Source organism: Homo sapiens, chromosome 4 (assembly GCF_000001405.40).
Source record: "Homo sapiens chromosome 4, GRCh38.p14 Primary Assembly".
In the NCBI taxonomy this organism is placed as follows: Eukaryota; Metazoa; Chordata; class Mammalia; order Primates; family Hominidae; genus Homo; species Homo sapiens.
The window spans coordinates 173,507,948-173,530,361 of NC_000004.12; the positions used below are offsets into that span (position 1 = coordinate 173,507,948).

The 22,414-nt window shown below is 51.6% G+C and overlaps 2 protein-coding genes and 3 long non-coding RNA genes across 12 annotated transcripts in view, besides 4 other annotated features; 3 read left to right on the forward strand and 2 right to left on the reverse strand.

Annotated features, from left to right (window-relative positions):
• Positions 1-11,197, reverse strand: part of SCRG1 (stimulator of chondrogenesis 1) — a 134,444-nt gene extending 123,247 nt beyond the window's left edge. For both annotated transcript variants that reach the window (XM_047449563.1, NM_001329597.2), the window contains exon 1: positions 11,032-11,197. The gene's annotated coding sequence lies outside the window, so the exon portion shown is untranslated. The remainder of the gene's footprint in view (positions 1-11,031) is intronic.
• On the forward strand, positions 170-6,795 carry LOC101928409 (uncharacterized). Of its 3 annotated transcripts, none has more exons than XR_939466.3 (2): positions 170-891; positions 2,385-6,795. It is a non-coding gene; the product is annotated as an uncharacterized LOC101928409 (long non-coding RNA). The 3 variants fall into 3 exon arrangements; XR_939467.3 differs by having other exon boundaries at positions 170-665; XR_001741459.2 differs by having other exon boundaries at positions 170-637.
• Positions 8,649-12,352, forward strand: LOC124900815 (uncharacterized). Of its 5 annotated transcripts, XR_007058371.1 has the most exons (4): positions 8,649-8,805; positions 9,590-9,680; positions 10,684-10,865; positions 10,948-12,352. It is a non-coding gene; the product is annotated as an uncharacterized LOC124900815 (long non-coding RNA). The 5 variants fall into 5 exon arrangements; XR_007058370.1 differs by lacking the exon at positions 8,649-8,805 and having other exon boundaries at positions 9,230-9,680; XR_007058372.1 differs by lacking the exon at positions 8,649-8,805 and having other exon boundaries at positions 9,230-9,680; positions 11,273-12,352.
• Positions 10,213-11,412: an enhancer, noted in NCBI's record as "MED14-independent group 3 enhancer chr4:174439311-174440510 (GRCh37/hg19 assembly coordinates)". NCBI's record gives its function as "activates an origin of replication core promoter dependent on BRD2, BRD4, P300/CBP and CDK7 cofactors, and independent of MED14, by STARR-seq in HCT116 cells {active_cell/tissue: HCT116}" and the evidence as "EXISTENCE:reporter gene assay evidence [ECO:0000049][PMID:35650434]".
• Positions 10,213-11,575: a biological region, named in NCBI's record as "MED14-independent group 3 enhancer GRCh37_chr4:174439311-174440510".
• Positions 10,989-11,575: an enhancer, noted in NCBI's record as "H3K4me1 hESC enhancer chr4:174440087-174440673 (GRCh37/hg19 assembly coordinates)". NCBI's record gives its function as "activates a minimal SCP1, AML or CMV promoter by ChIP-STARR-seq in naive H9 embryonic stem cells {active_cell/tissue: H9 hESC(naive)}" and the evidence as "EXISTENCE:reporter gene assay evidence [ECO:0000049][PMID:30033119]".
• Positions 16,797-17,338: an enhancer, noted in NCBI's record as "H3K4me1 hESC enhancer chr4:174445895-174446436 (GRCh37/hg19 assembly coordinates)". NCBI's record gives its function as "activates a minimal SCP1, AML or CMV promoter by ChIP-STARR-seq in primed H9 embryonic stem cells {active_cell/tissue: H9 hESC(primed)}" and the evidence as "EXISTENCE:reporter gene assay evidence [ECO:0000049][PMID:30033119]".
• On the reverse strand, positions 18,144-22,282 carry HAND2 (heart and neural crest derivatives expressed 2). The gene is made up of 2 exons (NM_021973.3): positions 20,788-22,282; positions 18,144-19,428 (listed from the first exon to the last, which is right to left on the reverse strand). Exons 1-2 carry the CDS (start codon positions 21,340-21,342, stop codon positions 19,330-19,332), a joined length of 654 nt encoding a protein of 217 aa, NP_068808.1. The 5' UTR covers positions 21,343-22,282; the 3' UTR covers positions 18,144-19,329.
• Positions 20,653-22,414, forward strand: part of HAND2-AS1 (HAND2 antisense RNA 1) — a 62,656-nt gene continuing 60,894 nt past the window's right edge. Inside the window, exon 1 of the long non-coding RNA NR_136197.1 lies at positions 20,653-20,892. This is a non-coding gene — a long non-coding RNA (HAND2 antisense RNA 1). The remainder of the gene's footprint in view (positions 20,893-22,414) is intronic.

Genomic DNA, 22,414 nt, shown 5'->3' on the forward strand with positions numbered 1-22,414 from the left:
GAGTGCGGCTCCCGGAGGCGCTGCTACTGGCCGAGGACTGCAGAGGGAATGTCGGGGAGGGGGAGATGGATGGAGGGTGAGATGGGTGGAGGGTGCAGTCCGCCCTGAGAAGAGAGGGAGGGGCAAGCTGGCAGTGCCTGGGAAAAGCCCGAGAAAAGCCCTGTCGGCTCCCTCTTCCTGGCTGCTAAAGTTGACACAAGACGGCTTCTTGGAACTCCCCCTCCTCCCGCCTAAATGTACAGAGCAAGACTTGAAGTCAAAAGATAGATAGCGATCGTGCTGAAAGTCAGGTGGAAAACAAGACTGCTAATTTTATGAAACAACCTATCAACCCACTGGGAAGAGATGACAAGAGGTACATGGGCGCTTCTGCAGGAGGTGGAGGTGGAGGTGAAATGCCGAGGTTCTAGACTGATGTAAATTTCTCCAACTAACTCCAGATCGAGAGCCTACAAATCCGACAAATATGCCCACACTTTGACAGTAACCGCCTCCCAGCACGCCCCACCACCGCCAACACACATGGAGGGGTTTGAACTTTTCCACCTTCCGGACCTCTGCAGTCCGTCGCAGGACGCCCAAACCACAGGCCGGACACAGATGAAGCCAGACCACAGCCCCCGCCCCAGCCACCGCGGTAGGTGGGTGCCCAAGAGACTTCTCAGGTGAGGGCAGGGGCCCCCTGAAAGGCACTAGAGAAGGCCTGCCGCCCGAATCTCCCCAAGTGCAGGGGAGAATTACATTTCCCCACCTCCTACCCAACCTGCCCCGGCCGAGTTATGGACATCGCCGCCTCATTCTAGACTTGAAGGCACTCTGCGGCCACCAAGAGACCACTCCGCATCCTAGGTCGAGCCTGTGGGAGAAGCACTCGGGGCCCGGGAGGCCGAGGTGGGAATGCCTGCTCTTGGGATAAGTGCCGCTACATTTGTTGGGCGGCTTTGTCAGTTTAGAAAGCTTGTCCCTGCACTCTGACAGTTTCTGCTTGCAGGGCCGGGTGCCGAGGCGAGATAGCCAGCTTCCCTGTTTCTTAGAATATTTCCGTAAACCAGACTGCATCCGAGCAGCCGGGTGGTGGTACGGCTGGTAGCAGAAGGTGCAGATGGTGCCAGGTTTGGAAACACACCCCACTGCATATTATTCCACTTCACGAGTACTAAGGAGGAGTCCAGAATTGGTGGCCGTCCTCCCTCTTGTTTTCTCATGCAAATAACTCAACACTCTAATCGTAAATCAAAGCTCCAGGGCCTACTTTTGCGAGGGGCACTGGAGAAAGAAGAGAGGGTTGCGCGCGCGCGTGCGGGAGCTTCGGAAGCTAAATCTCACTCGCGGGGAGGATGGGACGCGTGGGGACTGAAGGCGGCATCTGCCTGAATAAAGCCCTCGCGCGCTCTGAGCCTCCCACTCTGTCCTGGAGGCCTGAACCTCGCGAGTAGAGCCTGGCGCTTTTCCTCCCCGGGAGCACGACGGATAGAATGCGCGGGGTCGAGACGGTGTCGGTAGCGGGGGCCGCAGCGCTTTGCAAAGCCGGCCTCTGCCCCCGGCCTCCTTGGAGGGCGGTAGCGGGACCTGCGCTCGCAGCCTCTCCCCAGGGCTGTGCGCTTCGGCCTGGCGGCTGCCGGGCAAAAACCTCATTTATTTCCTTCCTTCCCGAGTGAGCTCACTTCCTCCCCGCGCCGCTCCCTTCCGTCGGCCGGAACCCGCTCCTGGGCCGCGCGGCTGCAGCCGGGAGCGCGGACTCGGGGTGTCGGGCGGTGTCCGCGCCCCTCCCCACCCCAGGGCCCTTCTCGGGGGAGATATCCAGGAGCTGAAAGAGATTCCTCAGGAGGAAGTGGAAACCTCTGAAAGGAGAGGAAACCGACTCTTTTGCAAGAAAACTGAGCGCCGGCTGGAAGGCAAGGAAGCCGAGGCGGCCGGGGAGATTCACCCACATGCCTGTTGACTCGGGCCCAGTACCTGCGTCTCCTTCCTTCTCTTTCTGGCCCTCATTTCCCCTGCTTCTCACTTTAGTTCACTGCTGTTTTAAAAATTCATATGCGGGCTCATTTAAAAAGCAATTTCACATTTTAAAGACTGCAGCAGCAGAGGGAGAATTACAAATAGGATTGATTTAATTAGCTGGTAATGCTTCTCTCATGCCCTATAATTAAACAGAAATCCTAATGGCGTTTCAGGGCCCAAAAGTGATTATTACTAGCATATTTTACATTTACATTAAAACGCTGTCCCCGGGGTGTAATCCAGGATCTGGCTCCATTTATTCAAATTTCTAACCTGAGTACTGAAGCCAGAATACTGCTCCCCAGCAATGGAAGGATGGCGTGTGGGGGCTGTGGTTTGGTTTGTTTGGCTAATTTTAACTTTTGTTCTGTTCTGTTCCTAAGGCCTAAGGAAAGCAGCCGATGGCTCCCAAGACAACTCTGTCCGGCCAGTACTCCAGGGCAACTTCAACCCCACTAGGACCCAGGCCAAAACCATATATATATATATATATATATAAATTAACGCAAAACAGAGCCACTTTGGTGCCTACCCCTCCACAAGTAGGTAGGCACATCCAGGTAGCTCTGTCAGAAGATGGGACCTGGCGCCTTGCAGGGGTAGCCCTATGGAGATCCAGAAGCCCCGTTTCGAGCTACGAAGTCTCTCTTCTACTGCAGTCTTCTCTCCAACGTGGAGATCTAGCAACTTCCCTCCCCCTGGGATTCCCTGTGAATCCACTCTAGTTGGGATATAGCCTCTCTACAGCTCAGTGACGTAGCGCGCCAAAACCAAGTACCCACCCCGGCAACTGGAAGACCTAGCTGTCCTCCATCCCGCCTCCGCAGTCGATAATCTCCAGGATCCAAGCAAAGTGCCTGTCCACGTTGTCACCAGATCCACAAGCGCTTTTGATGAGAGCTGCTACCCTTTTGGAAACACGATTCCCTCTCCCTAGTAGAGAAGAATCTATTCTTCTGGGCTGGCGTAGACAAAGAATAACCAAGATAAAGTATGTGGTGTGAAAATATCAGCTGCCTCTTCTTTTTTTGTTTTTGAAACGGAGTCTCGCTCTGTCTCCTAGGGTGGAGTGCAGTGGCACTATCTCTGCTCACTGCAACTTCCGCCTCCTGGATTCAAGCGATTCTCCTACCTCAGCCTCTGGAGTAGCTGGGACTATAGGCGCCCGCCACCACGCCCGGCTAATTTTTTGTATATTTAGTAGAGACGGGGTGGGGGGGTGTTTCACCATGTTGGCCAGGCTGGTCACGAACTCCTGACCTCAAATGATCGGCCCACCTCGACCTCCCAAAGTGCTGGGATTACAGGCGTGAGCCACCGCGCGCCGGGTGGAAAACATTAGCTTCTAATAGCAGTCTTGGAGTGGAGTGAAGACGTTCAGGAAGTGGTGGAGATAGGCCTGCTCAATTAACCGGCCCCAGATATCATTTCTCTGGCTACCTCTTTTCTCGCCTGGCCTGGCCCTCTATACCGTTTTTTGTTTGTTTGTTTTGTTTTGTTTTTTTTCTGCAAAACGTTTTCTGCTGCAACTTTCTCTTTATTTATGCCTTTATCTTTCTTAAACAAGAGGTCCCTGGAAATAACTAACTAAGGAGGGGAGAGGAACCCCCTCACCCCCAATTTCATGAATGAGTGCTACATTCATGCTGGCCGGGTACCAAGAGCATCTTTAGATCTTTAGACCTGAGTCTTCTCATCTGTGAAAAAGAGGTTAAAGCAGATGAACCCTAAAGGCCCATTTCCAGTCTTAAATTCAACACTTTCAAGACAAAACTTTTCTTCTGTATTCCTGAGTGTGTATATATATGTTATGTAATATATATTATAATGTATATATATAAACTTGGCTTAGTAATGTTCTGTGCTGAGATGCAGATGAGGAGGACATTTTAAACTTCTAAGGGTGCCCTCCCTCTGGTTGTTTCCTCCCAGACGAGCATTCTTTGTGGAACAGAAAGAGATCCTCAGGGTGGAAAGCACCAGAGGCAGGTCTCCTGAATACGGTGCTGTCCAAGTCTACTCATGGTCACATGATTCATTAGGACTGTAAATCCTCATCAGAACACAAGCATCAGACTCTCTGACCCTGCCAATTCAAGTACTAATGGTAAAATCGTCCAAGAGGCTGGCCAACATATGCACACATTAATTAGAGTTATGTGGGCCTTTGGCTTCCAGTCTGATGAACAGCTCCAGGGATGCAGGGGGCAGAGGGTTTGGGGTCCTTTTCACCCAGCAGATGCCCTTTGGTCCTGAGAGGGCATTAGTCCAATACAGTGGGTGATCTGAAAGCTAACCCCTTTCAGAGGATGGCTTAACCTCAGCAACTAGGCTAAAACCTAGCAGTGGGTCCCTAAGAGGGACAGGGGAAAAAAATCTGTTCAGAGGAAATGAGAATCAGCAGTAAGCTTTTGTTGTTATTACTTCATCTTGTATTATTATGAGACAGGAGTGGGGAGAAGCCCAAGGTGAAAGAAGAGAAATTTTTGGTATGCATGGAAGACGTGGATACTTAGCAACCCTCTCCCCTGGCACTCAAGTGCACACGCAGAGAAAGTAATTGCTATATTCCATCTAGAAGCTGAAAATGCTTTCAACACCATTTACAAGGATAAGGGAAGGAGCAGCTGAGGGGAGCATGGGTTTGATTCAACTTAACTGCAATTCTGGCCAGGTACCACAAGTCACAGAGCATCCCAGAGAGCAGAATCCCAGAGAGTGTCCCCCATCCCTGGCAAGGGACACTATGCATGGCACTTTTCCTACAAGATGTGTCCTTTTCTCCATCCATATCTAACTCCTATGTGGAGGAGAGTCAAGGTCACTCACAGTCTCTATTAGACTTGGGGAGCAAGACCCCTCAGCCTCTCCAAGGGTCACATTGATGTAAATGAAGGTGTCATCCGCTCTTGTAGGGAACAGTCACCTCTGGCTTTACCTTCATGCCTTTTTGAATTGTAAAGGGCAAAATGCCTGGAGTCTATCAAGTCTACACATAGTTATTATACTGCAAAATTTGTCTCAATTGTTTTGTGATAAATGTGTATTTCCCAATCCCCCACCTCCTTCCATTATAACCCATATGAACCATCTATGGACTAGAACATAGCAAAAAACCTCTCTATGGTAGGAGAAAATGTATTTATTACTTATATGATGCAAACAATGTAGACCTTTTCATTTTGAGTTGGAGAGAGGGGACACACAAAAATTGAGAAGCCACATTCCCACAATTCTAGGCAGAATTTGATCTCACTTTTTTACTTCTTTTATTTCTCTTTCTCCCTTTTTTCTTATTCTTTGTCCTCATCCACAGAGAAAAGACAATCCAATCTGGAGTCCTAGGGATTGATTATTCCACATTTGTCCCTATCTTCTCTTTCCCAAGAGAAGATCCCTTTGTTTCTGAGTTTACATCATGAAAGGAGTTTACATCATTACTCCCCCCTTTTTTATTTAAACTTAAAGTACATGAGTAACAAGAACTCTTACACCTAGGTAAAGCCTTGGGAAGGGAGCAAACTGCTCAGGCTGCTAAGGTGTAAGAGGATGTATGTGAAGGGGAGTGCTCTGAGAGGCAACCATTTCTAGGGAAAGGTCTTGTCCTCTTAGTAACAACAACAAAAGAAGTCCATTTTCAAACATCTATTAGACAATGTCAATCTTTCTTTTCAATTGTATGCTTAGCTTAGCAAAGAGAGTCAGGTGGAATCTCACACCTTGCCCAAATTGTATTTGGTGTGAGGCTCTTCAAAGCTTCCAAGACACCATCCTTCTCCTCTCCCCCTATCAGTGGAACAGATAAAACTGGAGCAACCTGCATTATTCTAAAACCATAGAGATGATATTTCTGTTTGCTTTTCTACTCATTAGGAAGCTCTGAGAGGATGCATAAGAAATGAATCACAGTGGGTGAAGAAACTGGACAGACTTCAGTGGGTGAGGAAACTGGGGAGACTTTTCACATGTACATTTTGGGTATTTTTAAACCATGAGAATTACTGCCTATTCATGAAAAATTAACCTGAGTAGAATATATATGAGAGAGTTGCTGCTAAATATATTCCACATAATACCACATATTGAGGAGGAGGATGTTACCTACTGAAGATATGGGATTGAAAAACATGCAATAACTTTCTGTTTTGCTCAATGGGTCATAAGTTGAAAATTAGACTAGAAAATATTTGTTCAGAGAAGTACAAAATCTTAGGTGAGGCAAAATGCACACTAGTCCTCTCCTCCCTTATCTTTCCAAATGGGGAGACTTGTCAGTTTAAAGCCATTTGCTCCTCCAGTTAAGTTCTAGGATCGTAGACTTGGAGGACTGGCTGAGCCATCAGTCCCAAGTGGAAAGGCTAAGCTAAGCATACAACTGAAAAGAAAGATTGACATTGTCTAATAGATGTTTGAAAATTGACTTCTTTTGTTGTTGTTACTAAGAGGACAAGACCTTTCCCTAGAAATGGTTGCCTCTCAGAGCACTCCCCTTCACATACATCCTCTTACACCTTAGCAGCCTGAGCAATTTTCTCCCTTCCCAAGGCTTTACCTAGGTGTAAAAGTTCTTGTTACTCATGAACTTTAAGTTTAAATAAAAAAGGGGGGAGTAATGATGTAAACTCTTTTCATGTTGTAAACTCAGAAACAAAGGGATCAACTAAGCAGGGTGTGGAACAATCGACCCCTTCTACCCATAGGTCATTAAATGGCTGCTGGATGCCAAAAAGATTTTAAGCTAGAACTGTTTTCCTTTTCAAGAAATATGCAAATAAACAAACAAACTCTACCAAAGGATAGAGCTCTTCAGGTCATTCTTTTGTTTATGTCTCCTGCAGCTTTTCCTGTTGCATAGTCCCAGCTAATAAACAACTTAAGCCACTCTTACAGTGAAGTTCAAATTGCAAAATAAGAGACTTAACTGTCTTGTTTAAAGGTATGCTATATATCAAGTCACAAGGCAATAATATCTATTCTATCCTTTTGCGGCAATAAACAGACCCGCCCCAAAACACAAAATCAGATGGCCTTTTCCCACAAAGGCAGGTGGTTAACAATAGGATTTCCAAAGGGCACTCATTTATGTTGGAAGCTGATAGGCATTTCACATAGTGACCAGGAGAAAGAATGGGTCAATGTTTGTAATACCCAAAAAGGTGGCAACTGGGGGAAACGGTGGGGCAGGAAGGAAATGGAAGGGAGTTGAAAGCATCCTTGGTTTCCCCAGCTGTTTGCAGAAGTTGGAACATACGGTGCCAGGATTTTTCCAAGATGGCAAGGGATAGAAAGTAAAATTATTACCCCCTGCCCCCCGCCAAAGAATGCCTTCCAACAAATAAAGATGTATTCGCAGTTTGGAGACTTTTCTCCTTCCACAGGAAATGAGCAGAGGTCACTTAGAACCAATTCTCATCATTTAGTAAAAATAACAGGGTGATAATAGAAGCAACAGAAGGAGTCAAGGTGTTTGTGCTAAAAAAAAAAAACTTTAAGTTCAGGCCTGGCCTGGAGTGGGAATATCCAAATGGGTTCTTCATATTTCAAGTTTTATAGACAGTCTTTTCCCTAAAGGATATACTTTCATTAGGTCATAAATGCACCAACAGATGAGAGAGGGAAAGAGGTGTGTGTGTGTGTCTGTGTGTGTGTGTGTGTTTGCATGTGGCCAGAATGGCAGAGCAGGTATGGAGGTCAGGCTGTGCGGGGAGGTGGTGGGGCTGTGTGTCACCCACCTGTGAGGGCAGCAGCCAGGGACTACGACTTCAGGTGGCCCTCTGTGCCTAGGCTTCTCCTTGGTTATCTTAGTTCTCAGGTTTCCCGTGGGTTCCACTGAGGCTCCTAATTGCTCCAAATCCAGGCATTTACTTGCCTAAAGGCCACAAGAAGTGGGGTGGGGACGTATCTTTTTCAGAGAGTTTGTTAAAAATTTAACTCAGAGAAGTGTATTAGTTGGGGCCTCAATGCCTGAACTTGGGTGGGAGAAAAATGGGTTGTTTGGCGACTTTCATTTCTCGCTGGACCCCAATTCCCCAGATTGGAGAGGTTTACCTCCTCCAAAACCCAAGGGGCCCAACTGGGTGCCCCTCGGGGGCCAATGCTCTTCATCTTCCCACTCCCTGTTCCATGCAAGAGAGGACTTTGCAGACAGAATCGTCCTGACCCGATAGCCACGTAGGCTTCCTTCCGAGCACTTCTCAAAGTGAGTCTGGGTTTTGCTACCAGTATCAATTAGCCGCTTCTGGCGAATCCCAGAGAATGTTTAATTAACTCCACAGCTCTGATTCACACTTACAGGTTGGTAGCAGTTTAAAATTATTGTAAAACACCACCCGGATAATATATTTACTTTTTGTCTAGGCCAGATTAGCAAGACACGCGCACACACTCTACGTTTAAGTCACACCCTGCAATGCAGAGAAAATATTTCAATAGGCATCTGCAGGCGGCCGAGAAGAACTGGAGCAATGATTATTTTCCTCCTTTTTTGATTTTCTGTTTCTAAAGAAAGCACTGGTATCAAGGACGAGTTAGGTAATGCGTATTAAAAGGCAAGCAGGTCGCTCTCGTTTACGCCCAATCATAGTTCATAGTTCAAGGAAAACTGCCTTTAATTGACACCGTGTATATTCCTCTGCTCCTCTCAGGCTGCCCTGGCAGGGACGCCCCAAGAGTATTTATTTCTAGGGTTGGAAACAAAACAACCAACCCCGTCTACTGCGTAAGAGAGCGTTCCAAGATGGACTGCCGGAGAAAGGCTTTTTGACCCCTGTGGAAATTAGTCATATTGACAGACGCCCAGGGAAGGTAAATTACCCCGCGCGCTGACGTTACGCAGAGGCGCACCGGGTTCCGACTCCACCGCGGCGCCGAGGGGGCCAGAGGCTCCCAGTTCTTCCCCGCATAGTTCGACAAAGCCCTACTTTGCTTCCCTGGGTCTGGGATCTCAACGTGAAGGGGGCCGAGAGAGCGGTGATAAGGTGCTAGAAAGGAAACGGCAAGAGGAAACTAAAAAAGTGGAGAGAAATTTTGTGCGCCGTAGTGCTTAGCAAGCTGGGGAAACGAGGAGAAAACGAGCAAAGTCTACAGGGGAGGGAGAGAGGGAGGAGGCAGGGAAGGAGAGGACCACGAGGCTCCCGGCGCCCAGGCCGCCACTTGGGAGGTCCCGGCCCCAAAGCAGGCCGGGCCAACCGTCCCCCCGGGAGGCTCGGGGCTCGGGCGGGGTCACAATTACACCTCGGCTCCAGGCGAGGACTTAAAAACCAAGTGGTGGGGACTGCAGTCTGGAAGCAAGGCCCTGCGGTCATCGGAGGGGGGCCAGGCCCGTGCACAGGAACCTTTTACAAGGCATGTGGGTACAAGAAAAAAAATCAAAATAAACCACTTTCATCCAGCATGGGCAGTGAAAAGAAAAGCTGCCTTCCAGAGGGGGCGAGCGGGAGTTTTGAAATTCATTGTGTGTTTTGCCTTTATATAAGGAGTTTTGCGTTTTTTACCGATAACCAAAGGGGGACACTAGGGGGAAGTAACTGCTATTTTTTTTTTCTGGAGAGGGCTGAAATAAGGGGTTCACCGGTTCTTTCACAATCAGATGGTGTCCCAGGACTGCAAGTAACTGCGTACATCCACACAGCGCATTACACCAACCTGAGAAGAATCCTTGCGTGACCGGATTGTTTCTGGTATAAAATAGGGCCTAACGGTCCCATCTCTTTTCTTTTAAAAAACTGAGTCTGTGGAGGGGGCTTATTGGAAAGCATCAAAAGAGTGGCATCTGATTTTCTGATTTTACCGGAGATTGGACTGGAGGTCTTCTTTACTAAGAGTAACAGGCGTAGCCACAAAAGAGCCTGGTCTGGTCGCAAAGTAAAGGCAAAACTAGTGTGGGCCCTTAGCCTCGCCGGCCCCGGCCCTCGGAATGCAAAAGGCGAAAGCTCCCTCCTGGGCAGGGCCAGAGCGAGAGCGAGTGAGGAGCTCCTCCCGGACCTCGGGCCTAGCTTCGGAGGTATTTTTAGCTCCTCTCTCTGCTCCCCAGAGGCTCTTTTGTAAGCTTAACAGAGGCTCAGCAAGCTGCCCTCACCCCGAAGGGCTGTGGGAGGAGGCTGCCCTAGTATCTTGAAGAAAAAAGAAATTGCCTATCCTTAAGTTTAAAACAATATTCGCTCTCTCTAGGCTCCCCTTCTGTTCTCTCGTTTTTTTCGCCCGCAGGAACACTCCAAGTTCCACAGTTAAAGAGGACCGGGAGGGCAGGAATGGGTGGGGCCTGGAAATCAGCTCCGAAACTGGGTGCGGCACACCTTCCTCTGCCTTTCTGCCTCTCTCCCGGCCACTGCTGCTCCACGGGAGCCAGTCTTGGATACCTAGGGTGGGGGACAGGGGGACGGGAAGAGCCTCGGTTGTCTCCAGGTAGGCAGGGAACCCGGAGCATTTATTTAAAGTTACTTATTTTTTTAAAATAAAGGCTTAAAATAAGTCCAAATGTTTCTGCAACAGAGTTTCCAACACACTGTTCAGGAATGCGAAACTCGGGACCCAGACTAGCAATCCCCAAGTGGGTGAATTCTTATTATGTAGAAACCTGCTCTCTATGCTCCCCCTCTCACCTTGGAGAGGCCTCAGTACAGCCTTCGGGCTTGGGCCGCAGGCTTCCCTGGACTTCCGCAGTCCCCCTTCTCCCCATTCCAGAACCTGCCGAGCCCCTGCTGCATCTGGGACCCGCCTTCACCGTTTCCCAATCCCAGCGGTTAGCCCCTGCGCCCCCTTTTTGGTCTCCACTTTGCCGTTCGAAAATGCCTAGGTTGGTGGATCGACCCTCCGCGGAGCAAAGACGGATGGCTGGCAGGAGCAGGTTCAGGAGCTGGGCCAAGGTATTCTCTGCTTCCGCCTTTGTGTCCGCCCCCCCGCCCCCTGCTCCCCGCTTCCCGCCAGCATCTCTCCTTTTCTGCTCAGGAGTGTTTGGCCCGGCGGTCCACCCCGGCTTCCCGAGATACGCTAGAGTTGCCCCCACGTCCTGTCCGCCGCGCCCCTACCCACCGGGTTGCCTTCGGGGCCCTTCGGTGCTGTGTAGTCGGCGTGGCGCTGTGAGCTAGGCGAACAGGAACCCCCAGGCCCGCCACGTCTACGCTATTAGCAGCCAGGTAGCCCTGCGGGTCGAAGATGCTCAGAGGAGGAGTAAATGCAGAGAAAAAATAGAGGAAGGAATAAAAAAAAAAACAAAACAAAAACACGTAACATACACGCACTCAAAACCAACTTTGGGATTGGACTTTTTCAGTTTCACACGAAGAGACTTGGAGTATCTGGAGAAGGTTTTTGAAGACGTTTAGGAGGGAGGGTGAGTTTTCTGCTGAGAAACTCAATCTGCCATACAGTAGCGGCCCCATCTGGGATCTGTCACTGCTGACAGCACCAGAGGGCACAGCCGTGATCTTCTGCACAGCCTGCACTCCCCGAAATACCCTCCTTAATCAAAGGATGTCTGCGCGCCTGAGCTCAGCTGACCGCGCCGGGAGCACCAGGGCCGTTGGATTCCACCCCAGCCCGCCCCCTCCCCACGCACACAGCCACGGCCCCTCGCGTCTTCGCGGCACGTTAATTAAATGCGGAAAACAGACAGAGGCTGATGTCATTGCTCTCACAAGATCATAAACGTAAAAGAGTCATCCTGTGAGAATCCCTGAAAATGACTTTAATGAATAATTTCAGAGACAGTTATGACTTTGGGTGATTACTGAGCAAGAATATGAAAACCAGATTTGCAAAGCGAAGGCGATGGTCAAAAGGCCTGGCAGTTACTTTCTCTCATTAAAACCGCACCGGCTTTCCTTCTTCGCCAAGTACTAGTTACCAACTGAGGTTGCGTTTTCAGGTTTTCTTCTTCAAAATAACAGTCTTCTTTTCCTGCTTTTCTGCCTTATCCTAAAGACAAAATGTCAGCTCCAGGGAACGACATTAACAACCCACTTTAAATTGAAGGCAACTCTGCACTGGCGTCAGTGGCCATTGGCTTCCATCTTTTTACAAAGGTTGGATTTACTGCCATCTTAGGATCATATCTCTTTTGGCCTCTTCTCTAGGCAATGTATTTAATGAAGGTTGAACATTCTCACTGACCCTGAGTCAGTGCACTGTTTGTTGTAAAGGATCTCAGCTGGTGGGGCAAAAAACAAGTTCCAAACAACCTGCCTTTACAGAAGAGTCTCCCTGACTCTTTAGTTCTAGGTCACCAATGAACTGAAAAATGATTTGGTGCTACATTAAGGAATATTTTCAAACACTCCATCTGGCCATGGAGAAGCATCCAGTTGGTTATATCTGGTTGCTCATGCATTAAAAATACTATTTGAGAAAACAACTAGGGTGTTAGTTGTGGAAGTGGCCTGGTGAGTACCCTCTGATCTTTTGCACGAAGTTTAGCTGCCTGCAAGTCTGTCTTCTTTGCTTGAAAATATAAACTGGGACTCTCTGGGCCTGTGTCCCATGTGGATTTATTCCACTTAATTCAAGTAAAAGTTTGTTTATACTCTGAGCAAGAAAGTATTATAGGCACAAGTGATGTGGAGTTTTCAGTTTGCTTGTTTTTTGCTGTTGTTTGTTTGCTTTTGAGCGATCTGAGTGATTTAGAAAACTAATGTGTCTCAGTCGGCTCCACCATTCAGACAGATCATAGAGAACCCACTTACCAGCACTCTAGAAAACTGTACTTTGTGCAGACATTGCCTGATCCTCCCCTTTCTAGAAGCACAGATAGGCCAGAATCCTTCAGTCACTGAGGACACAATTGTCTAAAAGCCTCATTCCCTATCATTAGCCCCCAAACCGCAGAGCTGTTTCCTTCCCTCTTGGCTCCAGATAGGGGTGGGTGGGAGAGGGGACTAGGCTCTCCATGTGACATTTCCCTGACTTGAGAGGAAATGTTTCTTTCTGATTCTAGATTACATGAAGACACTTTGGAGTTGGTGTATAGGGTTTCCTCAAAGAACTGAGGTAACGTGGACTTTAGGGAATTTTCCTCAATTGGATTCCCTGTTTATTTGTGATACTATTTGTGTCCCCCAAATAGATCTTCTTGTTGCTCCACTCACATCATGAGCAGTTTTCCTTTTCCTCTAGTTACATTCACTCTAGCTTCTGACTGAAGACTCTGCTTGCCCTTTGTAGCCCGTGCAGGAATAAACAGCATCTTCTGGATTTGCTTTGAATCCTTGTGCTGCCCAATGAGTCAGAGGTGTAGGGTTGATCCAATAATATGGCTAATTCTCTCCCTGTAAAGACTTTAAATAATGTAGGCCTCTCTTCACCCATCCCCCATTCTCACCATCCTGGACTTCACGCGGGTCATGGAGAAGGTGTCCAGGGTGGGAGGCACGCTGGGTGGGTGTGGCCTCCTTTGGCACAGTGGTTCGGCATCCTCTGGGGGAGATTTTGAAAACTGCAGGCTCCGCGTCGAGCCCCTGACCTGCTGAATCAGAATTTCTGGTGAAGGTAGGGTGAAAACGGGGCTGAATTTGTCATTGTATCAAGTTGTCCGGGGAGTGGAAAGTCCAGGTGTTGGATTAATCCCAGCACCCCTTACTTCAGAAGAGACCAGGCTATCCCGCAGAACGCTAGGGTCAGAGGTCTGGGGCATCAGTCAGCCCGTCCAGGAATTATGCAAATATATGCAGCCTCTACTCTGAACACTGGGACGTAGTAGGGGACAAAGCTGCCGCCAGCCGTCCTCGTCCTTGCGAGGTGTCAGTGTTTGCGCCAGGGACAACTCCCTGGAGGGCTGGGGGAAGGGAGGGGCAAAAGAGGGTCCAGGGCCTCAGCTCGCTATGTACTTTAGGGTTTAATAACAGGTGCAAAGGCAGCTGCTAAAAGACATCGCATTCTGTAATCAGCTTCTGCCAGGCTGTCCGGCTAAACAGAAACTCCCACAATTTTGGCCCGAGGGCTGTAGGGCGGAGCGGGTGCCAGTGAGATGAGGGCAACCCTAAGAGGTGGCATAAGAGCCTTACCCCTAAGAGCCACCCCAACCCCATCCGGGGCTTGCACCGGCACCGCCTGGGCCGCAGTTGTTGCCTCAGGGAAGCTTCGCCCTGGCGCAGGGATAGAGCAAAGAAGCGACCGCATGTGGAAGGCTTTCCAGGCGGAATGCTCCAGCCGTAGCGAGTTGGAAAATTTAGAGTGGGGAGGGGGCAGTAGAGATGTTAACTGGCCCCTCCTCACCCCAAACAAGGAAAACACAGTCTTCTGGGCTAAAAATACATATTTATGAAGTCCCTATACGCAGGCAGGCGGCGCGTTCCAGCTGCCGGCCTGGCCCAGGGAGGACTTGGCCGCGCGGCCGCCGATTACACCCAACTCGGCTGGGATGGCTCCGAGCCGTCTGCCCTGACGTCAGCGAGGCTCCGGCCCCGCCGCGGCAAGATAGGCGAGCGCGGCCGGGCGCGGGTGCGGCACTAATCACTCCCAGATGTCCCTAATAGCGGAGATAAAGACGGACAGAGCGGCCGGGAATAAATTTGTAATCAGGGCTCTACCATCTGATCATCAAAGCGGCCCAAATGCCGGGAGAATTTGAAGGGAATGCGTGTGAGGGGGGTCGCTTGGGGGAAGAGGTGAGGGTGCACTTCGCGATGGGAACTGGCTTCGGTAGGGTAGAGCAGGGAGAACAGGGCGAGAGATCTGTAAGTTCGGTGCACGTAAGTCGGATACTCGGTGCTCTTTAACCTCCATTAGCCCTCAGACCGAAGCCGTTTAGCGGTTCCAGGCTGATTGGAGCTGCGCAGTTGCTGTGCGGGAAGCACGCGTTGCGCAGCGGCTGGGTGGTAAGGCGGCGCGATGAGAACTGTCCGGCCCCCGGAAACGTGGGATTGGTTTCCTCTCCCGGAGTTCTCCCCTCCCCCTTCTTTCTAAACATTTAAAAAACACGTAGTCCGTCTCCCCCAACCCCCATTCCCGGTAGACTTAATCCCAACAGCAATTCATTGCACCGCGGAGCTTCCTCAGGGAGGGGGCTGTTGGAGCCTCCAACCAGGGTCCTGGGCCCCAGTCTGAGAATGACTCCTGGGTTTTTCTCTCCAAGCGATCCGCAGGCTCTGACAGGCCAGGAGTCGCGCGCGTCCGGGAGACTCCTTAGCGCCCCCTCCTCACGTGGAGATCTGGACTCTCAGGAGCTGGGCCCAATGGAAGGAATGGGTACCCTTGGGTCACCAGGGTCCAGATTCGGCCCTCTACGGCGCCCATGCCACAAGCCTCCCTCAAGACCATCTCTGCTTGGCACCCACTAGCCAGCTCCTTTTCCAAATCTAGGAGCCTGGGTGGGACTCACAGGCAGGGAGAACTCAAGGCGGCTGTGGAAAACAAAATCGCGTGCCGCCCGCGCAATATTTGATTAAAGCTTCAGGGCTAACTGAGCGGTTTCTTGCGCTTTGCAGGCCCGCAGTGTATGTTCAGTCCCAGTTTTCCTGGCACCCTTTGCCCTGCTTATGTCCCCTGCACACACCTCAGGCCCTTGCAACTGGCCCGGGTTCTCTCTGCAAATCTGTAGTCTGGGAAGGAACTCCCGGGTCTCGTACTCCCTGCCGCTTTGCATTTGAGCTCTCACCTTCCTCACCCCTTCCTGCGAATTCCAGGTGCGCTTACCTCTCTTGTTCTCCTGCTACTTCACCAATCCGAGCGGGAGACTAGCTCTGCAATTCACGCCAAGCTGGGGCAGCGGCTAGCAGAGTCTGGTCGAAGGAATTGAACCACCTTCCACTCCCGACACACGCACAAGTGCTAAGAGGCCCCCAGGCTGCGCTCCCTGGCACGGCTGCTACGCTCACCTCATCACGACCAAGCAGCCTGGTGCTCCTACACCTAAGGAGGCAACCCAGACCCAGAGGTCCACCCTTCCTAGATGCCTGGGCCTGCTGGCTAACCCATCCCGAAAGCTGGAGCTTGCTGTCTCGGCCTGGAAAAGCCCTTTAAGTTGCTGTCAGTGCCCAGGCAATTGGGAGCGGGGCCCCCACTCTGCAGTTTTTCAAATTGCTTCCCAAGCTGAGAAGGGGTTTGCGCGCGCGCACACACACACACACACACACACACACACACCGTCTACAACTGGCCAAGCCTTTGCCCCTCCGGTGCTCCAGGGTTATCAGACGCTGGGCCTGCACAGCGGTCTGGGGCAGAGCCCTGACAGCCAGATCTACCATCAATTTACCTTCCGCCGCCGCAGCTTCCCATTTAGCTTTTAACGTCAAATCCTACATTTTTGTCGGCTCCGGCCTGTCTAGAACGCTTGTGATTTCCCTGCAGGAGTGATTGCTCTTAACAAAATGGCAGCAACCACATTATCCGAGCAATTAAAACAGAGGCCTTTTAGCCGGTCCCGCAAGTAGAGGCTTGGAAAATTTTTTTAAACAAAGAAGAAAAAGTTAAAAGAGAAATAAGTGTTGGAAGAGAAAAGCATGGAAGCTCAGAAGAAACGTCTGCCCAGTACGCCTTTCACTTCCTGGGACTTGACAACCTGGGGCGGGGATGTTGGGTGGCTGAGAGCGGCTGGGGTGACAGATAATCTGGGGTGTCCTGCAGGTTGAAGCATCTGGTCAGTTGGGGTGTGCGTCTGGTTAGGGGGTTCAGCCGCCTGCAGTGTCAGGCAGCTGGGCATTCTGCCGTCTGGGGTGTCCGGTCTGCTGGGTGTCTGGCTGGTTAGGGTTTCTGGCGAGTTGAAATGGCAGGGCGGGTGGGGTGACCAGGCCTAGTGTTGCTGGCCCTGAGGAAGAGGAGGCAGGCTGTGCTTGGCCGGGGCCAAAGAGGAGCGCAGGTTTAAAAAGCAAGTGTATTAGCAAGTTTCTCCGTAGCAATGGTGCGCCAGGGTCTTTTGGTTTCCCTCTGTTGTTGTTTAATAAGCCAGAGAAAGTGTTAAATCTGCAGAAGTGCCTTAAGGCCCAGATGGCGGAGACCAGCTACACAAGGTGCAGAGAAGCGTAGGTGCATGGTGAAGATAACTCCTCTCCGTTTCCTGTTTTTAAAACCTCACCTCCTCCGCCACTGTTTACTCCAACACTTTGGTAGGCTCCTTTCTTCCACGTCTAGGACCTGATGGCTTTCTCCTGAGCAGATTAAAATAAAGACGCGGAAGACAACTGGAATCAGGAGAGGGAGGGAACCACTGGATCAAACGCAGGAGGATTGGGAGAGCAACAGAAAATCAGGGCGCGCCTCCCCCACACCTCCTCCCCATGCTATAAACAAAGGCAAGTGTCTGTAAACACAGCCCCGCGCCCACCAGGTCGGCCCAGCGCCGGCTGACCCAAGGGGAGAAAGTTCAGATCGCTTTGGCCGAGTTGTTCTAACCCCTCGCCCTCGCGTTGTCAGCCGCCCGCAGAAGTCCGCAGAGCCTCTAGCTTGTCTCTCCCTGGGCACTTCTGAATTCGCCCACGCCGGGTCTGATTCGGCCTGCTGCAGGCAGAGGGGTCATAGTGGACACCAGCTAGGCGTGGGAACCCTTGGGACATCGCGGGAGGGTCTGTGCCCGAGGCCAAGTTGCGAACATCACCCTGAGGATGGGTTCCAGGATGGAAACCCTCTGGCAAGCCTCTCCAACACCAGATTTATATACGCGGCGTTCCATGAAACAAACCACTTTTTAATACGGTTCACCTTTCTCCTCCTCCCACCCCCTTCCAAAATCCCTCCCAGCCTCCTCCCCCCTTCCCGCAGCCTGCACAGGCACTTTAGTTTCTCCGGTTTCTAGAGCTGAGATTCAAGCTTCCGCCAAGGCTGCAGGCAAAGGAGGCCGCTGGGACTTTCTTCTGGGACGAGCTGGGACTCAGGGAGCCCAAAGACCCAACAGGGAGAGATCCCGGGTCCCGTGCTGCCGGTAGTCCCGGAAGGGTGTCGCTTGTTTCGCTGGGCTGCGGCCGGGAAGACTTCAGACACCGCACAGTTAATATTGAGTTCCCTGTAACTCCTTGTAAATCTAACCCGCCCCTCGCCCCTCTTTAAATCCGTGGTCTTGTTCACGATTTCTTACTTGACGTAAAATTCCTTGTTACCTAATCATGGACTTTTTCGAAACTCCCTCCACCCCCCTTTCCCGCCTGCTCAGATGAGAAGCCCCCGTATAGAATACAAGCAAAATCCTCTCCTCTCTTTTCTTTTTCCTTTTTTTTTTCTTGGATGAAAGCCCCATAGTTTGAATTAAACACCCCAGACTAGTTCCCGTTGCAGCAATAATGCCGGGGTTCTCCTCACAACTCCTCCACCAGAAACACTCTCCAAACAAAAACTGACGGCCTCAAGAAATGGCTTCTGATTGACTTCAGGAAAGCAAGAGCACCTTTACACCTTCTGAGCGAACTGCCGGACTGGGTTCTCCAGCCCAGATCTTCCTTCTAGAGACTACTCAGCGTTCTCCAGCTGGGGGAAGAGGGAAGGAGACACCACACCGACAAACCCCAGACCATTTGCAGGATTTGTAACAAGGACACTTCTCTTTAAGAGCACCTCCTCCTCCTGCGTAGGCCGCAGGTCAGGGTGACTGGTTGGAACCACTGAGTCTTTAAAATAAAGTTAGAGGCAATCATGATAATTTAGTTTACTTCTGAATATTTTAAATATTACGAAAACAAGTATAACAGCTTTGTTTTCAAAACTCTTTTGAGGTATCAGCCATTAAAAGATTAAGGTTTTTGTAAAAAAAAAACACAGTGGTTTATTGAATACTTACAACGTTTACACCTTCAATATTAATTAAATTCCATTTAGTTTTAGAGGACGGAAGTGCACAAAACAAGTGGCTGTTGGAAACATCTTCAAAGAGGGAACGACCACAGATGAATGGATAGCACTAGATACCGACCCCAACGGAAATGTTAGCGGCCCTGTTTTCTGCTTTGAAATAAAACTTTATAATACCCAGGAATATTTATATCCAAAGGCCAAGTATTAAAGATACACTTCACAAACGCACTAGTGCCCACTGTCTTTATCTGGAAGGGGTTGAGTAGGTTGGCGGGGGGCAACGCTGGTGTCTACACAGCCAAGAGGGAACATTCACGCACACAGAATCTATGAGACGACGGGATCCCTTACCACACGGGAGTGTCCTCTTCGTATTAAAATATGGAATGCTTTTCTTCAAATATCCACTTTTTTTTTGGAGGGGGAGACGGGGAGCAGATGCCTCAAAGGGGGTCAAAGAGAGGGGAAGGAAATTGCACATAAATAAACCGGATGATTCCAAATGCAAGGAGTCCTCAGAGCGGAGCGCGGACGGCTTTTCCGGAGTCCTGGGTCTGCATCTGGCGCCTTGGCCCCTGCTCACTCGCGCTCTCCTCCTCCTCCTTCTCCTCCTCCTCACTGCTTGAGCTCCAGGGCCCAGACGTGCTGCGGCCAGCCCGTCCGGCCTTTGGTTTTCTTGTCGTTGCTGCTCACTGTGCTTTTCAAGATTTCGTTCTGGACAGAGGAAAGGCGAGGGCGAGAAAAGTGGAAAGAGAAATTCAGAGAGGATACCTGGTTCCACACCAACCCGGAGCTTCCTGCGCCGGAGGAGACAGTGAACCAGAGAGGAAAGGATACGATGGGGGAGTCCCAGCCCCTGCAGAGAAGCTACCAAGGTTAGCGCTACCCTAGCCGGCGGGGAGGCCTCGGCGCTGCAGCGCTCAACAACCGGATCCACAAGTTTATAAACAACCGCCCGTTTTCGAGTCGTTTATGGAGGAGCGGGGGGCCTTTTCTCTTACTCCAGATGTAGGGGCGGGAGCTGGAGTCGGCGCTAAGTCTGGTTTCTCTGTTTTCATTAGCAATCCTAGATCCACATCTAGGAAAAATAGGGCGAAGGAGCCTCTGTTTCGGCCTGGGCCTCTCGGCCAGAGGCTCTCGGCCTCCAGCTCAGCAGTGCCTCTCCTCCAAGGCTTCTGAAATCTCTGGTTATTCGGGAGGTCACTCGATTATGCAGCCACCAAAGGGCTGCAGGGGCCAAAGAAGAAAAATTCGACAAATGCAATTATTTTCCGGGCCCTTCGTGGACATAGCTCTATCCTGCACCACTGCCCTGTGGGCACTTGGTAGGAATCTGAGAAAATTTTAAGCGGCTCAATTTACTTTCGTGTTATTTTTAATAACAATGACCATAGTAATGCCTTTTCCCCCTTAAAATGTACAGGCTTATTCAAATAAAATTAGAAATGCCAATGGAATATACTCATCTGGGAAATTACATTTTAACGTCATAGCCAAGGAAAAATTGGAGCTGTATTTTGAAGTCAAAAGTACTTATTTTATGTTTACCATTACGTTTTCCGGGCATAGTATGAGAACAACCACAAAACTCAGGGCTCAGTCTCTGGCAGCCTCCTTCTGGGAGTGGGGTAGGGGGTGCGATCAATAGTGAAATAATTGGAATCAAGGGCTTCTTCGAGACTTATTCTGGAAACATCTGAAAGCAAGATTGGATTGGAGGCCAAAAGAAGGGTCTAACAGAGACGGGGTGAGGCATCCAGACCAGTGCGATCGCGATCGATCGCGACCCAGAGTTTTCAAGGTCCGTCCTAAGTACTAGGGGAGCAGCGATAACCCGGAGGTAAGATCACCAGCGCAAAGCATCCCTAACCTTCTCCTCCTCCTGCTGACACCCTCCCCTCAACTCTCTGCTTATGCCGGAAGCCATCCTTACACAACCTGGTGCAAACAACCTTGAAGCGGGACGCAGCCAAAGAACACGAGATGCCATTTCTCAGCCCAATTGGAAAGAGGCCGGGAGCACCAGTTCCCTGACCCCCTCAGCCCCACCGCCTGCCGCCCCCTGGTACTGACCAGCTCCTTCTTCCTCTTCTCCTCTTTCACGTCGGTCTTCTTGATCTCTGCCTTGAAGGCCTCCGCCTCGCCATTCTGGTCGTCCTTGGCCAGCAGGTCCATGAGGTAGGCGATGTAGCTGGTGGCCAGGCGCAGGGTCTTGATTTTGGAGAGTTTGGTGTCGGCGGGTACGTTGGGGATGCACTCGCGCAGTTCGGCGAAGGCGCTGTTGATGCTCTGAGTCCTGCGCCGCTCCTTGCGGTTGGCGGTGCCTCGGCGCTTCACCGGGCGCGGCCCCCCCAGGCCCGGGGGCCCGGCGCCCGGCGGCACCCCCCCGTAATGGGAGTGGTCCAGGCCGGCGGCGCCGCTGGCATACTCGGGGCTGTAGGACAGGGCCATGCTGTAGTCGGGGGGCGACATCTCGGGGTGGCCGATGAGCCAGCCATGGAAGTAGGGGTTCTCCTCATGGCTGCAGCGGCTGGCGGCGGCGGCGGCAGCTGCGGCGGCGGCGGCGGCAAACGGGTAGCCCTCGTGGTGCACCACCGGGTGGTGGGGAAAACCACCTACCAGACTCATTTCGCCCTCCGCGCCCCTCCACGCGCCCCAGCGTGCGCGCAGCCCCGCCGCGCCCTCGGCCCGGGCCCCTGCCTCAGCGCTCGGCGTCCTCCCCCACCCCCCACCCCCCAGCCCCCGGGCGCCCGGGCCCGCCCGGCAGCCGCAGAGGGGGCTGCTGCAGCCCGGGCCCCGTCCCCCCGCCTGGCCAGCCGGGCCCGCCTCAGCAGCGCTGCGGCCGCCGGCTCCCCATGGGGCGCGGCGAGCTGGTCCTGGCACCGTGCGCCCCTGGCCGCCGCCGCCGCCGCCTCCGGTTCCCGCCTTGCTCCACGGCCCGCGCTTCGGCTCCTGCTTCCCGGGCTGCTGCGCGGAGGCAGAATCCTCTCGTGCTCATACAAAGGTGCCGGGGCTCCCGCGAGGCTGGTACGCGGAGTCTCGGGAATCCAAGCCCGGGCCGCGGTCCTGGCACCGAAGCTAACCCGGAATCCAGGGGCGAGTCTGAGCCGCGGCTGGAGGAGCCGGTCCAGCTGTGCCGGGGGGCGGCGGGGTCGACTGCTCACTGCAAAGCTACCTCCGTGCGACCCTCCCCTTCCCGCCTCTTCCCCTCCCCCCACCAGCCCGATCTGGGTTCTTGGGCGCTTATTGTTTTAATGAAATTTTTGGTTGTTGTTGTTTTGGTCCTTAAATGTGATTTTAGCTGCGAGTAACGTGTCCTCGCTCCTCTCGCGCTCTCTCGGAGGGTTTTCAGAGAGGTCTCAGTGCATCCATTTTCTCAGATCCTCTCCTTTCGGGGCAAGGATCTGGGGCCCTGAATGAGCCTTGGAGCTCGAAGACCGCGGCTCGGGCTCTCGGAGGGCTCTGCGCGGTGGCCGAGGAAGCTCCGGGGTGACGGCGGTGGTTCTCCTGGGCTGGACGACGTGAGGGGAGCAAGCGGATTTTCCCAGCAAGATCTCCATGTACAGCTACATCTTTAGGGCCGCTCGGGTTAATATATGTCGTCAGAGGCTCCTCACGCCAATCCCGGGGCGGCAGGGGCGGCGCCTCGAGCTCTCGGCAATAAAACTTTTTGATGTTCACGTTGCTAATTGCCGAGGTC

Coding starts and splice junctions, on each gene's coding strand:
- HAND2 (NM_021973.3), bottom strand. CDS start 21,342: ATGAGTCTGGTAGGTGGTTTTCCCCACCACCCGGTGGTGCACCACGAG. Junction 19,429..20,787: donor AGAAGAGGAAGAAGGAGCTG/GTCAGTACCAGG, acceptor TCCTCTGTCCAG/AACGAAATCTTGAAAAGCAC.